A 14,023-nucleotide genomic window follows, 5' to 3' on the forward strand; every position below is an offset into this window, starting at 1 on the left:
GTGAGAGGTGCCCCAGGAGCTTTCTGTGTCTGACTGGGCTCCCCAAAGCCCAGTCTCCCAGGGTGGCACCAGGCGAGGGGTGCTTGACCCTGGGTGGCCGGAGCAGGGCAAGCTCTGAAGAGAATCTTACTTGGCAAGAGCAGTGCCCGGGGGGTCCATGAGGCTGTGCCACTTGGAGGAGTCAGTGAGCAGGCCAGGTAGGATGTGGCCCAGCAGGACCAGGGTCACTTGCTGCATGTCCAGGCAGAAGATGGAGTAGAGCAGCTCCACTGCCCGCAGCGTGTGCTCCTTCCGCGTCTCCTTCAGCAGCTCCTAGTGCGCAGGAAAGGGGGCAGTTCAGGAGCCAGGGGCCCGGGATCTGGGGCTCCTACACCCTGCCACCCCAGCATGGCTGTCCAGTAAGGCCCGCAGAGGGGGCCCCAGATGTTGCTCCGCCCCTCAGGCTGAATCCCAGTCTCTGGCCAGAGCTCCCCAAGGAGGCAACTCTGAGGCGAGGCATTCCGGGGAGGCCACCTGGCTCACGGCAGCCTCTCAGGGAAGCCTGGCAGACCAGGCCAGGTGTGGGGAGCCAGGGGACAGGACCCATGTCGGCCCACAGCCACTCCAGCCCAAGTACCTTAATCAGGTTGTTGCAGAACCAGTAGACGCCGCCCATGTGCAGCAGGGTGTCAAAGATGTGGATGGAGCGGCTGTCCACCCAGCCCTTCTCCAGCACCTTGGCAAAAATGTCCGTCAGCACCTCTTTGATGGGCCGCTTGGGGGGCAGCAGGTTCCAGTAGGGCATTGTGTCCACCCCGGTGGAGGGAAACTTGATCTGCGTGGCTGTCTGCTGCAGCACGTCGGCACACATGCGCTCCAGGATCGAGTTCATGATCACCACCCTGGGGGAGGGCCGAGAGAACCTGAGGCTCAGGTGCCACTGTAGGGTGGGGAGGGAGAGGAGGGAACACCCATGCCAGACTTTCCCTTGGACTTAGGTTACGGAAATCTCCCTGAGGCATTAACCCAGTTTTGCGCTGGGGGACGGTATACCCCGGGGTGACCTGGCCCCTGCTCTGCTCCTGGCAGGTCTCTCACCTGCAGGACACAAAGCCTATAAATAGGGACTGGGGAGGGACTTTCCTCCCCCTGGCCATTCCAGCCAGATATTCACATTTTCTTTTATTCTCCAACTTCCCCCATCCCCCAGGCCTGGGCCCTGCCAACCTGCCACATAAATAAACACAATCACTTCCCCCTAGGCTGAGTGCTTGGGGGTCCCCGCCCAGCCCTGGCCTCCTCCCAAAGTAAACTGTTCCTTCCAGGAGAGGCCCAAGGGCTGCCCCACAGGACTCTTCCCGGCCCCTGGTAGCTGGGCAGATAGAAGTGTATATCCAGGAATTTTCTCATGGAAAGAGGCTTCGGAAGTGAATACAGACCCGGGCCGAGTGCTGACTGTTCCTGGAATGCAGGGTGGCTCTGGGAAAGTTGCTATGACCTTTAGAGCCACTTTTCCCACCTGCACAATGGAGCCACAGACTTCTCACTACCCCTTACCCAGATAGGATTTAGGGTGCTTAGAATGGGTTACACCAGAGCAAAAGCTCCCTACTTGGTAGGGCGGGGGGGAAGGTGGTGGAGAAATGAGAGAAGAAAGGAAAAAAGGAGGAGGCAAGGGGAAAACGAGATGTGCTTTTCCAGACCGTCCAAACCTCATTCAGCTCAATGCTTCCCCTTCTCCCTATTAAGACATCCTCAGGCCCGGTGCGGTGGCTCATGCCTATAATCCCAGCACTTCAGGAGGCTGAGGCGGGAAGATCACCTGAAATCAGGAGTTCGAGACCAGCCTGGCCAACATGGTGAAACCCCATCTCTACCAAAAATACAAAAATTAGCCGGGTGTGGTGGCACATGCCTGTAATCCCGGCTACTCGGGAGGCTGAGGCAGGAGAATCTCTTGAACCCAGGAGGCGGAGATTGCAGTGAGCCTAGATAGTGCCACAGCACTCCAGCCTGGGTGACAGAGCGAAACGCCGTCTCAAAAATAAGTACATAAATAAATAAATAAAGACATCCTCAACGTTGCCATAAAGACATGGCAACACCCAAAACGTATTAGCTGGTAAACACCCATGTTCACAGCAGCACTATTCACTATAGCCCAAAGGTGGAAGCAACTGAAGTGTCCACTGACAGAGGAGGGATCAAGATGTGGTATAGCCACACAATAGAGGTTTCTTTTGTTTTTGTTTTGTTTTTTGAGACAGAGTCTCACTCTTTCACCCAGGCTGGAGTGCAGTGGCGTGATCTCGGCTCACTGCAACCTCCGCTTCCTGGGTTCAAGCAATTCTCCTGTCTCAGCCTCCCAAGTAGCTGGGATTGCAGGCGCCTGCCACCACTCCCTGCTCATTTTTATATTTTTAGTAAGGCCAAGGTTTCACCATGTTGGTCAGGCTGGCCTTAAACTCCTGACCTCAAGTGAGCCACTCACCTCAGCCTCCCAAAGTGCTAGGATTGCAGGCGTGAGCCACCACGCCCGGCCCACAACAGAGTATTATTCAGCCTTAAAAAGGAAGGAATTCCTGTCACGTGCTACTACATGGATGAGCTTTGAGGACACCATGCTGAGTGAAGTCAGTGAGTCACGAAAAGGCAAGGACTGTATGATTCCAGTTAAATGAGGCATCTAAAAAGTAGTCAAATTCAGCAGGGCACGGTGGGTCACGCCTGTAATCCCAGCACTTTGGGAGACCACGGTGAGAGGATCACTCAAGGCCAGGAGTTCAAGACCTGGCAATATAGTGAGACCCTGTCTCTACAAAGACTAGAAAAATTAGCCGGCTGTGGGCCTGCAGTCCCAGCTACTCGGGAGGCTGAGGCGAGAGGATCACTTGAGCCCAGGAATTTGAGGTTGCAGTGAGACTCACTCTGATCTGGGCAAGGGTAAGACCTTGTCTCAACAACAACAACAACAAAAAGTATAAAGTAGTCAAATTCCTAGACACACAAAGTAAAATGGTAGTTACCAGGAGCTGGAGGGAGGGGAAAATAGGAAGCTGTTGTTCAGTGGGTATGGAGTTTCAGAGATGCAAGAAAGTTCTGGAGACCTGTTACACAACAGTGTGAATATACTTAACACTACTGAACAGTACACTTAAACATGGCTAAGATGGCAAATCTTATGTGTTTTTTACAATTAAAAAAAGCAAACAACTTATTGGTTGGGTGAATGAACTCAACGTAACTGGTCACCAGGGAAGTCCTCCAAGCCCCTGAAGAGCCAGGGCAGGAAACTGTCCTAAGAGGTAACTGAGGGTGGGGCATGGCCTGTAAAATCTACAGACAGGTTCCTAGCTCCTAGACAGTCACACAGCTTTGTTCTTTTGGGAGCTAGTTGTCTAGAACTTGAGTCTCTGCGGGCAGACCCTGTTTAGGGTCTGCATTTCTGACAACACAGCAGGTGCTGGCATATAAACGCTTCTGCCACAGAGACACAGTACATGTTTGCTGAGTCAGATGAGTGAATGCATGAATAGGAAAGTGAGTGAGTGATCAAGTAGCGTGTTTGCGAAGGTCAGAAAAGAGAGGGGTGCTTGTTATTGGATGTGCTGACTTCTCACAACACACTTGAAGGGTCTGAGAAGGGAAGGCAGGTTACCGACCTCTCATTGTAGAACTGCAGGGTGTTCTCACTAAACAGTGGCCCTGCCAGCTGGCGGATCATCTGCAGCGACTTCTCACGCTCATCCAGCCCCAGCATCCGGACGTGGGCCACAAGCCAAGCCACAGCACACACCGCCAGACTGCATACCTTCCCTTTGATGTTATCAGTGATTTTCTAGGGGAGACGGAAAGGTGATGGGCTACCATCTATCTCCCTTTCTTGAGCCAACATCACCTTCTCAGCCTCTGCGGGCAGCTAAGTGCAGCGGGTGGAGTCCCGGGCCACATTCCACACCTCTCTCCACAAGTTTGATCTTCCCAGAGCTACCTGGGCCAGAGGGAGTAGCTAAGACAACGATTACACAAAATATCAATATCAAAACATGAGCTCCTGGATTAAAGGTCTTCTTGCCCTTACGAAATATAACAAGTCATCACTGGCTGGCTCTGTGTCTCAGGGGAGCAAACGCTGCTGGGAAGGCGGGGCTACCTGGATGGACTCGAAGGCCAGGACCCCATTCTCCCAGGCATTGAGGATTTCCAAGATGGCGGCTGAGATGCTGAGACAGGCCTCATGCCACTTCATCTGCCTGCGGGTGTGCAGAGAAGTCAGCACAGGGGAGCAAGGAACGGGCTCAGGGAGCGGGTCTTGACCCTGCCCCCACCGCCACCCTTGGAGTGGGCGCCCGGGCCACTGACACTAGCTTCATCTCCGAGGAGTTGTTGAGCAGGGCCACCAGGGACTCCACTTTGGTGGAGTCGGGGCGGAAGCAGGGGTGGTCAGGGTTCAGGATCTTGCCCTCCTCAGGCATGCAGGTCTGCATCCAGGTCTCGAAGAAGGGCACCTCAGCTCCTGTGCGCGACTCGGACAGAATCACCTGGGAAAGGGGAAGGGGGGCACCAGCCGAGTGGGGAGGGCGCGGCGCCTGCCAGCGCTGGACCTGGGGCTGCACTGTTTCCCGCCAGGCTGCTGCTCCAGCCCAGCCCAAAGACTGGGGACGAACTGGTCTAAGGGAGCCAGACGGGGGCAATGCTGCCACCTAGTGGTCAATGTGAACATAGGGCTGAAGGTGCCTCTACGGACTCCAGCCCGGGTGGGCACCTGGTTTCTGAGGCCCACAGAACTAACTGGCTGAGAGGCTGCGGGGGCGCAGGCAGTGAGGTGGGGAGAGTTCCGGGTTACCTCCTTCCCTTGAGCCCCCGTCCCGGTCGCTCCCCTCTCTCACCTCTGAACCATAGGTCTGGGCCACATGGCACAGCATGAGGAAGGAGATGTCAAACAGCAGGGCCCGGACGGAGGCCGGTTTGGCTGTGGAAGGACGGGAAGGCTGAGCTCCCAGACGAGGGCAGGGGGGAGCCCGTGTCTGGGTTGACAGGGATCGGGATTTGCCTCTAGGAAGGTCAGGGACCAAGTGGCTCCTTCAAAGCTCTGAGGCTCAGAATCCTTTTCTTGAGTCTCAACTGGAACATCATCCCTTCCTTGAGACCAAAGACCCCCAGCACCCTCTCCTGGCATACCTAACCAAGTCGTAAAGGGATGAGGGGGGGAAGGAGACACAGGGATGGTCTGGGAAGAATCCTTTTCCAGCATTATCCACTTTCAAGCTCTGTGGAAGCTTCCATTGGTCATGGCTCTGAGGAGGGAGCACAGCCTCCCCCTGTTGAGCTGGGGAGCCCTCCTCCCTCCCACACTCTCCCGCCACACCCCTCCTCAGGGCCCACTGGGCCTGCGGATGCACAGGGCTGACTTACTGCTTTCTTCGCTGCCATAGGTTGTGAATTCATTCAAACTGAAAGGAATGGAGACAGGCTGCATTGACCAGGGCATGAGCTGAGCAGTAGCTGGGCGCTGGGGCTACACATGTTCAGAGAGCGATAGCTAGAGTCTGAGTTACTGGTTAAACTTAAAATGAGACACATTGCTATAGAAAAAAGGTTTTTGTGGTTTTTGTTTTTTGTTTTTTTTTTGTTTTTTTTGAGAAAGAGTCTCGCTCTGTCACCCAGGCTGGAGTGCAGTGGCACAATCTCAGCTCACTGCAACCTCCGCCTCTGTTCAAGCAATTCTTCTGCCTCAGTCTCCCAAGTAGCTGGGATTACAGGTGCCCGCCACCACACCCGGCTAATTTTTTGTATTTTTAGTAGAGACAGGGTTTCACCAAGTTGGCCAGGCCGGTCTTGAACTCCTGACCTCAGGTGATCCGCCCACCTTGGCCTCCCTAAGTGCTAGGATTACAGGCGTGAGCCACCGCACCCGGCCAGAAGGATTTTTATTGTTAGAAGATTTCCAAGGCCTAGAGAATGGCTCACTGAATGGAACCATGTTCTATATATGTCAAATTCCAGGGCAATCAAAAAAGGCAACAGAATTTGAGAGCCCCTTATTAATAACTGGGCATACTTGGAATTCCTCCATGCCCAATGTTCAACACCTCAACCCTTACCCTCATCTCTTTACCAAACATGTCCACTCCATCCTCAGCTGAAGAGAAAGGAACACTTAGGTCGTGAGAACAGGCCCTTCCTCCAAGATCTCCAGCCAGGATGCTCTGCCTAGGCCCGTGGGTCTCTGGATGAGACCCAGACCCAGGCACCTGACTCCTACCCTGCTACCTCCTCCCAACGCGCAGCCTCCCTGCACGCCCTGGGGTCAGGGGCTTGGCCTTCCTCACTTGATGAATTTCCGGGCGAAGGATTTCAGCTTTCCAGTGGCGGCGGCGGCAGCCAGCAGCAAGTCCAGACTCTTCCCGGACAGCATGTGGCCCAGGACTCCCAGCAGTCCCTCCGGTGACTTAGAGTGGTCTGCATCCATCGTCTGGGGACAGGACAGGAAATCAAGTCCTGAAGAACACTGAAGACCCCCCACCCAAGATACAGCCTAGCCACATTTTCTCTCTTCACAACCTGGAATGTAATCTACATCTTTCTGACTTCAATCTGGAAAATCATTCCTAAAACCCACCCCTGCTCTCCGATCCATCCCTCTCATCTACACTGGCATGCAGGTGGTAAGGTTGGAGTGGGCAAGGTCACGGCTAGGATCTTCTCTGTCCTTTCCTTTTTTAGACAGAGTCTCGCTCTATCGCTGAGGCTGGAGTGCAGTGGTGCGATCTTGGCTCACTGCAACCTCTGCCCCCCAGGGTTCAGCGATTCTCCTGCCTCAGCCTCCCAAGTAACTGGGATTACAGGCATGCACCACCACACCCAGTGAATTTTGTGTTTTTAGTAGAGACTGGGTTTCACCACGCTGGCCAAGCTGGTCTCAAACTCCTGACCTCAAGGGATCTTCCCACCTCAGCCTCCCAAAATGCTGGGATTACAGGCGTGAGCCACCGCACCCACGTCTCTGTTGTTTCCATGTGAGATGGCCTAAGTGAAAGCGCCTACTGCAGTGCCTGGTGTACAAATGAAGCTCCCACGGGTTAGCATTCAGTGGTAGCTGCCCTTGCCTCCCCTTTCACTACCTCCAAAGCAACTATGTATAAAAGCTAAAGGAGACAGAGGTCTGTGGCCTCTGTTTATTTATCTGCAAGCAGATGGAGCACTGGAAAGAAGAAAGAGAAGACTGTGGTGGCCAGGGAAGGGCACACTCACCTTGAGGATGTTTGTGACAGTGGGCTCCGCCCGGAGGATCAGCTGGATGTTGGGCTGGATGTTGGCATTCTCTCCCGATTTCTGCTGGGGTGCGTGCTCTCGGTCCGCTTTGCTGTGGACATCACCAGTTGGCCAAGGAAGGGAAGAGGAATGAAGAGAAATTCTTGACACGTTCCCTCGTTCAAGCCCGGAAGGAAATGCGCAGAGGAGGTGGGAAGCATGTAAGAACCTCCGAGGTTGGGGTGAAGTTTATGGAAGCATAGTCAATGTTGCAATCACTGATTTAGCATTAGTCTTTTTTTTTGAGACAGGTCTCACTCTGTTGCCCAGGCTGGAGTACAGTGGCACGATCTCGGCTCACTGCAGCCTCTGCCTCCAGAGTAGCTGGGCGCTCACCACCACGCCTGGCTACTTTTTTGTATTTTTAGTAGAGACGGGGTTTCACCATGTTCTACTGGTCTCAAACTCCTGACCTCAGGTGATCCACCCACCTTGGCTTCCCAAAGTCCTGGGATTACAGGTGAGCCAGCACACCTGGCAATTTATCATTAGTCTTTTTTTTTTTTGAGACAGAGTCTCGCTCTGTCACCCAGGCTGGAATGCAGTGGCGCGATCTCAGCTCAGTACAACCTCTGCTTTCCGGGTTCAAGTGATTCTCCTGCCTCAGCCTCCTGAGTAGCTGGAATTACAGGTGCATACCATCGCGCCTGATTAATTTTTGTATTTTTAGTAGAGATGGGGTTTCACCACGTTGGCCAGGCTGGTCTCAAACTCCTGACCTCGTGATCCACCCGCCTTGGCCTCCCAAATGCTGGGATTACAGGTGTGAGCCACCGCAGCCGGCCTATCATTAGTCTTAAATGCTCTGAAAGCACATTTAAGATTAAAGGAAGATTCAGGATTTTTATTTATTTATTTATTTTTTTTTTGAGACAAGGTCTCACTCTATCGCCCAGGCTGGGGTGCAGTGGCATGATTTCGCCTCACCACAATCTCCGCCTCCTGGGTTCAAGCAATTCTCGTGCCTCAGCCTCCAGAGTAGCTGAGATTACAGGCACACACCACCACGCCCAGCTGATTTTTGTATTTTTAGTAGACATGGGGTTTTGCCATGTTGGGCAGGCTGGTCTTGAACTCCTGGCCTCCAAGTAATCCACCCGCCTCCAGCCTAGGATTTTTACTTTTATCACAAAGATGGGTATGAGTTAAAGAGCAGTGACTAAGAGTGTAAAACTCTGGTCTGAAGACATCTGTGCTTTCTTTTCCTTCCTGTTCCCTGTACCCCCAGGCACGGTCCCAGTCACTTGCAGCCCAAACTTTCGACAGGAGGTTGAAAGGCACGCAGCAGCCCCACCGTAACAAGAGAGAGGTCAAGGGGCTCTTGGGGTAGCACAGGTGCGTTCACACTTACCGCTTAGCCATAAGGTTGTTGACGCTGGCCTCAGACAGAAGCCCCTGCTTGCCACATTCTTGGAGCAGGAAGTTTGTACAGTCACAGCTGTGAGGGAGAAAGATGCTGAGGGAACTGGGCACCTGGATAGGATGGTGAGGGGTGGGAGTGGCAGGTCCCTGAGCAGCATCCTCCCTCTTTCAGGATGAGGAAAATCTGGAGTGCCTGAGGGACGGTAGAGGGGCTCTGGGGACTTGGCAACTGTGGGCTCCTATTTCCTGCCCCTGCCAAGGGGAGTGAACAAGGAGACAGAGTCCCCTGAGGCTTCTCTGGCACAGAGATCAGGGGAAGAGCCCAGAACGCCTTCCAGTAGGGCGGGGGTGACCAGGGGAGCTCATACTTGCAGCGCTGGTCAGCTTTGTCCAACAAGGGGGTGAGCTTCAGCAGGAACTCAAAAGCACAGTTGACATCCTCAGTGAAGTCCTAGAAAGAGGCAGAAGTGTCCATCTGGTTTCCAGGGCCACCAGGCCCTGATCATCTCAGGCAACCTTGTCTGCTGGAGGCATCGGCCTGAGTTGCCTGGCTGCTTTCTGCCTGGAGCCTGGGTGTATGTTGTGGGTGCACGCAGACGCTGAAGCACACACACTGGCTGAAGCACACGTACACGCTGAAGCACACACACGCTGAAACACACACACTGAAGCACGCACACACTGAAGCACACGCACATGCTGAAGCACACGCACATGCTGAAGCATGCACATTGTGAAGCACGTGCACGCTGAGGTGTACACTCACATCCGGCTCTCTTCCAGGCATGAGAACACTGCCCAGCTGGGGCCTGAAGGACCCTCCCCTTTGCCCTTATTTCTGCTCCCATGCCTCCATCTCAATCCCCAACTCACCTTGTCTCCATGAGAGTACTTCTTCAACTTCACCAAAACCTGTGGAATCTAGGGGGTGAGGCAGGGGGAAAAACAGGAAGATCCATTTCTTTTCTCTTTCATCTACCCCTGAAGGCATCCCCCCGAACCCCTGCTCCAGGAAGAGAGACAGGAACACTCCTACCCTGGGAGTGAGAGCACACTTAGTGCTAAATGAGAAAGCCAATAGGTGCCCAGGCCCCTGATGCCCCCAGGCCTAGGCACAGGACACAAGCACCCTGCACCTCCGCTAGCTCAACAGAAAAAGATGCCATAAGCAAAAGTGGATCCCCAGCTTCAAGGAGGACTGGGGCCCCTTTCCCTGGCTCCCTTTACTGCCCTGCACCTATCTGTCTGATGACCAAGCTAAACTGCACCTCTGTGGTAAGAAACAACGGAGTCTGCCAAATGGGCTAAATATAGCCCTGGCACTTTCAGAGAAAATGATCAATGGGAACTTGCACTGGAATACCTGGCAGGCTGGGCCCAGTGCCCGCAGGGAGGAACACAGGGCAAAGGTCCAGGGTGCCACTGGTCTTGCTAAGAACCATTCCTAGACTGGCTCTGCCCCTCCCACGTCCCCAGTACCTTGAGGAAAGTGAAAGCTGTCCACTTGAGCTCCTCCGTACCCTCGGGAGACTCAATGAGCCCCACGAAGCAAGCTTTCCAGATCTCCAGGACAAAAAGTGGGGTGGGGATATGCTGTGGGAAGAGCCAAGGATGAGGCCTAAGAGGGTGCCCATACCCCGTCACCCTTCTGTGGACTCTGAGGATTTGGCTGGGTCAGAGACTGCATGGCAGAGTCACTGCTCAGCTATGTGCTGAGAACCAGGGGAGTAAGGTCCAATGACAGAAGTGTGCACGACTGGCACCCACTTTCCATCATGGAGCAGGAGAAACCCCACTTCTCCCAGGGAGAACCAGAAGAATCCTCCCTCCTGCCCCCAACAGGCTGGCCTGCCTTGGAGAAGGGAGAGCCACTCGGCCCCTCCCACCTGCATGCGCTTCACCATCGTCAGCTGCTCCACCAGGGACTGCGTCTCGCCTGTCAGGTTCATGGTGCCCTCGAGCAGGATCACGGCGTGGACAGTGGGGAAGCCGGTCTTGTGCATCTGCTCCGCATGCACAGACAGCATCGTGGGGATGCTGAGGGGTCACAAACACAGGGGACGGTGTTTGGGGGGCCAAAGGTGAAGGCGGAGAGGATGGCACGGGTGCCACATCTTCCTACCCCAGGGCGTGTCCTCCCTCTCCCTTCTCCACCATCCCCCAGGGAGCCGGTACCTCCTAATGAGGGTGCCACACTGCTCGGCCTGACTCCGGAGCTGCGGGTTGCTGAGATTGGCCAGGATCTCTCCAAGTTTCAAGAGAGAATGCTCGATGGCAGTCCAAGAAGCTGGCAGAGGGAAGGAAGTACAGAAACATGATGGGAAACAGGAGAGAAGGAGCACCTGGCCCTGAACTCCTCGATTTTGGCACTCCCTCCGGCACACGAAACCACACAGGAAGGCTTCCCCTGAGGACAACAGGGAGGGAGGGGCCTGAGGGCAGCATGCACTGTTTCCAGAAGGGGGGTGGGCACCTAGAGCTGGAAACCCCAGAGACCATTCCCAAAAGCCTGATTTCCAGGGGACACAGCCAGCTGACTTCAGAAGGTATGGCATCACACAGGCTCAGGAGAGAGAGGCAGAGGGAGGCCAGAATCCAGTGGCTGGAACAGGGAGGGCGGCCACAAATCACTCGAGGAGTGAGCGGATCCCAAAGTCCAGTCTTGCAGAGGCTGTCACTCTCCTCTGGGGGAACTGGGTCCCTAAATGGCTTTCTCATTCTCAACCACTCCCTCATCTAGGCATTGCGTTTGCTGCCCTCCCCTGCTGAAGGCCTCTTACACACTCTCTCTCAAACTCCCACCATGCTCTAAGCTTCTGTTCAAGCCCCAGTTCCTTTAGCAACTCACCCGACTGGTCTAACTCACTGTTCTCTCCTTAATGCCCACACTCATGGTCTAAGCCATATTGGTTAGCACTGAACTATAAGTTACTTATCCTAGTTACAATTCCAGAGGGTCAAATGATGAATAATGGCACCAACTAGCCCATTAACCTCCATGGAGCATAAAAGGGGGAAAAAAAGACAAGACCTGAGATCCATTAAAATTCAGTATTCATCCGATTTTCAGCCAATAAACATTTATCAAGGGCCCAAGGTAGGGAAGAGGCTGTCAACACAGTCCATTTTTATATAAAGATTGTCTTTTTGGACTTTTCACAGGCAGTAAAACATACTTGGGGAAGAAATAAATATACTAGTCCTAAAACAAGCTCTCCAACCAGGTCCTGAAGCCTCGAGAGTAGCCCATTCTAGCATTCTTGTTCCTGGAGAACAAGAGACCTGTAGGTGGTCCCAAGCCACTTGGGCTTCAAGGAGCAAGACTATGGCCTTAGGACCCCATTGCTGGAAATACTGGCATCTTCCCTCCCGCCAGGTGATCTGTCTGTTCTCAGGCTCTGGAAAGTACCCAAACTTAACATCTGAACTTGAGTCAAGAGGCATATGGTACAACAGGCCCAACAGCAGACAGGCACTGTGTTAAAAGGGGCATTTTAGGTAACATTCAAATACAAGAGTCATCTGCTTCCAAGCGATGAGTAACATGGAGACAAACACAATAATGGACACTGTGCTTGTCTTGTCCTCTAGTTTTTTCCTCGTCTGTGATGTACTAGTCTTGCTACCCACTAGCAGCTATGCTTGATGAGGGCAGGGACCCTGCCACATGCTCCTTTGGTAGCCCCCCACCCCCCACCCCCAGCACCTAGCACAGTGCTGGGTATACAACAATGCTCAGTAAATACCTGTTGGTTGATTGGCTCGGGTGCCACCCTGCCCAAGTCCCTGGGATGTGTGCAATGCTTATGGGGAGAAAAAAAAGGAAGTGGGATGGTTTCAGATCCTCCTGGAAAGAGGTGGGATGGCATCCTGCCTCTCCCTTCTCAATTAAAGGACCGGCTATGGGAGCAGCGGCAGGTGGGGCTCAGGGGAATCAAGGGACATACAGGCCTCCTCTAGTTTGGCGATGTGCAGCAGGGCCCGGTTCTTGGTGCTGCTGAGGGTTTTCTCCAGGCGCTGAAGGCACATGGCAAGCTGCTTCTCCCCAGCGGCTGGAGTGCCGGCCTCCAGCCCCTCCCGCAGCCGCTCTGCAGAGGCTGCCGTGCAGCGCAGCAGCCAGTGGAGGGCGCTAAGAAGGGCTCGGCACAGTCCGATGCATTCCTCTGCTTTGCCGTGACAGCTACAGGGAAGGATGCAAAATCAGACTCTGTTCTTCCAATGGCTGAAATCCGACCCACATCAATGTTCCCCAGAGTCCCTGGCACTCCCCTACTAGGGACTAGGGCTGAGAAGCTAGCAAAGTCCTGGGGAAGATGCTTAGCCCCTTTGGCTCCTACTGGACAAGATTTCAAATGAGCTACTCCAGACAGAGAGGAGGCACTCTGTCCTAAGGGAGTAAGAAAAGGAGGGCACAGGTAAGTGTAGATGGGCAGGTGGGGAGAAAAAACGTTGGAACCCGGAGTTGGTCTCGGTCTGTGTGCTAGGAGCTGCACCTCTGCACAAAGACAAGGCTGGAACATTGTATTGTGAGCCCCCTTACCCCTGCCCTTACCTCAGACGGTCACAAAACATGTCCATGATGTCCAGCAATGCCTGGACACACAGGTCCCGAGAAAAGTCATCAAACTGTGGAAAGGACAGTGGAGATGCTACGGAATGCCTCCATCCACCCCCAGGTCTCACATGAGGCAGACGGTGCATTCAGGACTCCTGCTCCTCTCTCCTCCAACCCTGGGTTCCAGACTCAGCATCCTCAACACTGGACATTGGCTCCCAAGCACCAGCCCCTACTTGCCAGGATCCCCCTCCCATGGAAGTCCAGCAATGCCAGCCAGAGGCATCATGTGCTGCCTATCCAGCCTCACGGGTCACAGCATCAGGGCCGTCAAGGAGGCGGGGCCTTGTCTGTCATCCCCAATCTAGCTCCTGAGTGTCTATGGTCATACCTTACTGATGGCTGTGAGGACAGAAGAGTAGGACACCATCTGGAGAGAAGGAAGAAAGATAATCTTTAGACAACTAGTCTCCCACAGTTGAGAGGAACAAACACTGATGCTTCAAGTTGCTGCAGCTCTCCTGAACCTCAACCCCTTCCACAGGCCCTCTTCAACCCAAGCAAGGAGAGGCAGTGTCACTGTGCACTGCCCTGTTCCTGCCTCTGTCAGACTTACTGCAAATGGTATCAGCATAAGCCCATCAAGAAGATGATTCTGGGGATGCTCAAAGGCTCCATGTTTCAGGCCGAGCATGGTGGCTCATGCCTGTAATCCCAAAACTTTGGGAGGCCGAGGCGGGCGGATCACGAGGTGAGGAGTTTGAGACCATCCCGCCCAACATGGTGAAACCCCGTCTCTACTAAAAATTAAAA

At 54.0% G+C, this 14,023-nt stretch overlaps 1 protein-coding gene and 2 non-coding genes across 7 annotated transcripts in view, besides 2 other annotated features; all 3 read right to left on the reverse strand.

The window, feature by feature from the left end:
* MED24 (mediator complex subunit 24) overlaps nt 1–14,023 on the reverse strand; it is a 35,305-nt gene that overhangs the window by 3,411 nt on the left and 17,871 nt on the right. For 2 of the 5 annotated variants that reach the window (NM_001267797.2, NM_001079518.2), the window contains exons 4-20: nt 13,208–13,281; nt 12,603–12,835; nt 10,831–10,942; nt 10,542–10,692; nt 10,135–10,248; nt 9,529–9,576; nt 9,024–9,106; nt 8,645–8,731; nt 7,234–7,345; nt 6,312–6,454; nt 5,395–5,432; nt 4,869–4,951; nt 4,342–4,520; nt 4,133–4,232; nt 3,642–3,817; nt 617–881; nt 131–312 (exon numbers count right to left, since the gene is read on the reverse strand). In NM_001267797.2, the coding sequence (NP_001254726.1) occupies nt 131–312; nt 617–881; nt 3,642–3,817; nt 4,133–4,232; nt 4,342–4,520; nt 4,869–4,951; nt 5,395–5,432; nt 6,312–6,454; nt 7,234–7,345; nt 8,645–8,731; nt 9,024–9,106; nt 9,529–9,576; nt 10,135–10,248; nt 10,542–10,692; nt 10,831–10,942; nt 12,603–12,835; nt 13,208–13,281 (2,180 nt within the window). Of the gene's footprint in view, nt 1–130; nt 313–616; nt 882–3,641; nt 3,818–4,132; nt 4,233–4,341; nt 4,521–4,868; nt 4,952–5,394; nt 5,433–6,311; nt 6,455–7,233; nt 7,346–8,644; nt 8,732–9,023; nt 9,107–9,528; nt 9,577–10,134; nt 10,249–10,541; nt 10,693–10,830; nt 10,943–12,401; nt 12,459–12,602; nt 12,836–13,207; nt 13,282–13,601; nt 13,641–14,023 lie in introns of all 5 variants that reach the window. The other 3 variants (NM_001330211.2, NM_014815.4, NR_052017.2) reach the window with 3 other exon arrangements.
* MIR6884 (microRNA 6884) lies at nt 3,818–3,895 on the reverse strand. Its single transcript, NR_106944.1, has one exon. It is a non-coding gene; the product is annotated as a microRNA 6884 (primary transcript).
* Nucleotides 4,133–5,043: an enhancer, noted in NCBI's record as "H3K4me1 hESC enhancer chr17:38182900-38183810 (GRCh37/hg19 assembly coordinates)". NCBI's record gives its function as "activates a minimal SCP1, AML or CMV promoter by ChIP-STARR-seq in naive H9 embryonic stem cells {active_cell/tissue: H9 hESC(naive)}" and the evidence as "EXISTENCE:reporter gene assay evidence [ECO:0000049][PMID:30033119]".
* Nucleotides 5,028–5,131, reverse strand: SNORD124 (small nucleolar RNA, C/D box 124). Its single transcript, NR_102369.1, has one exon. It is a non-coding gene; the product is annotated as a small nucleolar RNA, C/D box 124 (small nucleolar RNA).
* Nucleotides 13,088–13,955: an enhancer, noted in NCBI's record as "H3K27ac-H3K4me1 hESC enhancer chr17:38191855-38192722 (GRCh37/hg19 assembly coordinates)". NCBI's record gives its function as "activates a minimal SCP1, AML or CMV promoter by ChIP-STARR-seq in naive H9 embryonic stem cells {active_cell/tissue: H9 hESC(naive)}" and the evidence as "EXISTENCE:reporter gene assay evidence [ECO:0000049][PMID:30033119]".

This window comes from Homo sapiens, chromosome 17, assembly GCF_000001405.40.
Source record: "Homo sapiens chromosome 17, GRCh38.p14 Primary Assembly".
Classification (NCBI taxonomy): Eukaryota; Metazoa; Chordata; class Mammalia; order Primates; family Hominidae; genus Homo; species Homo sapiens.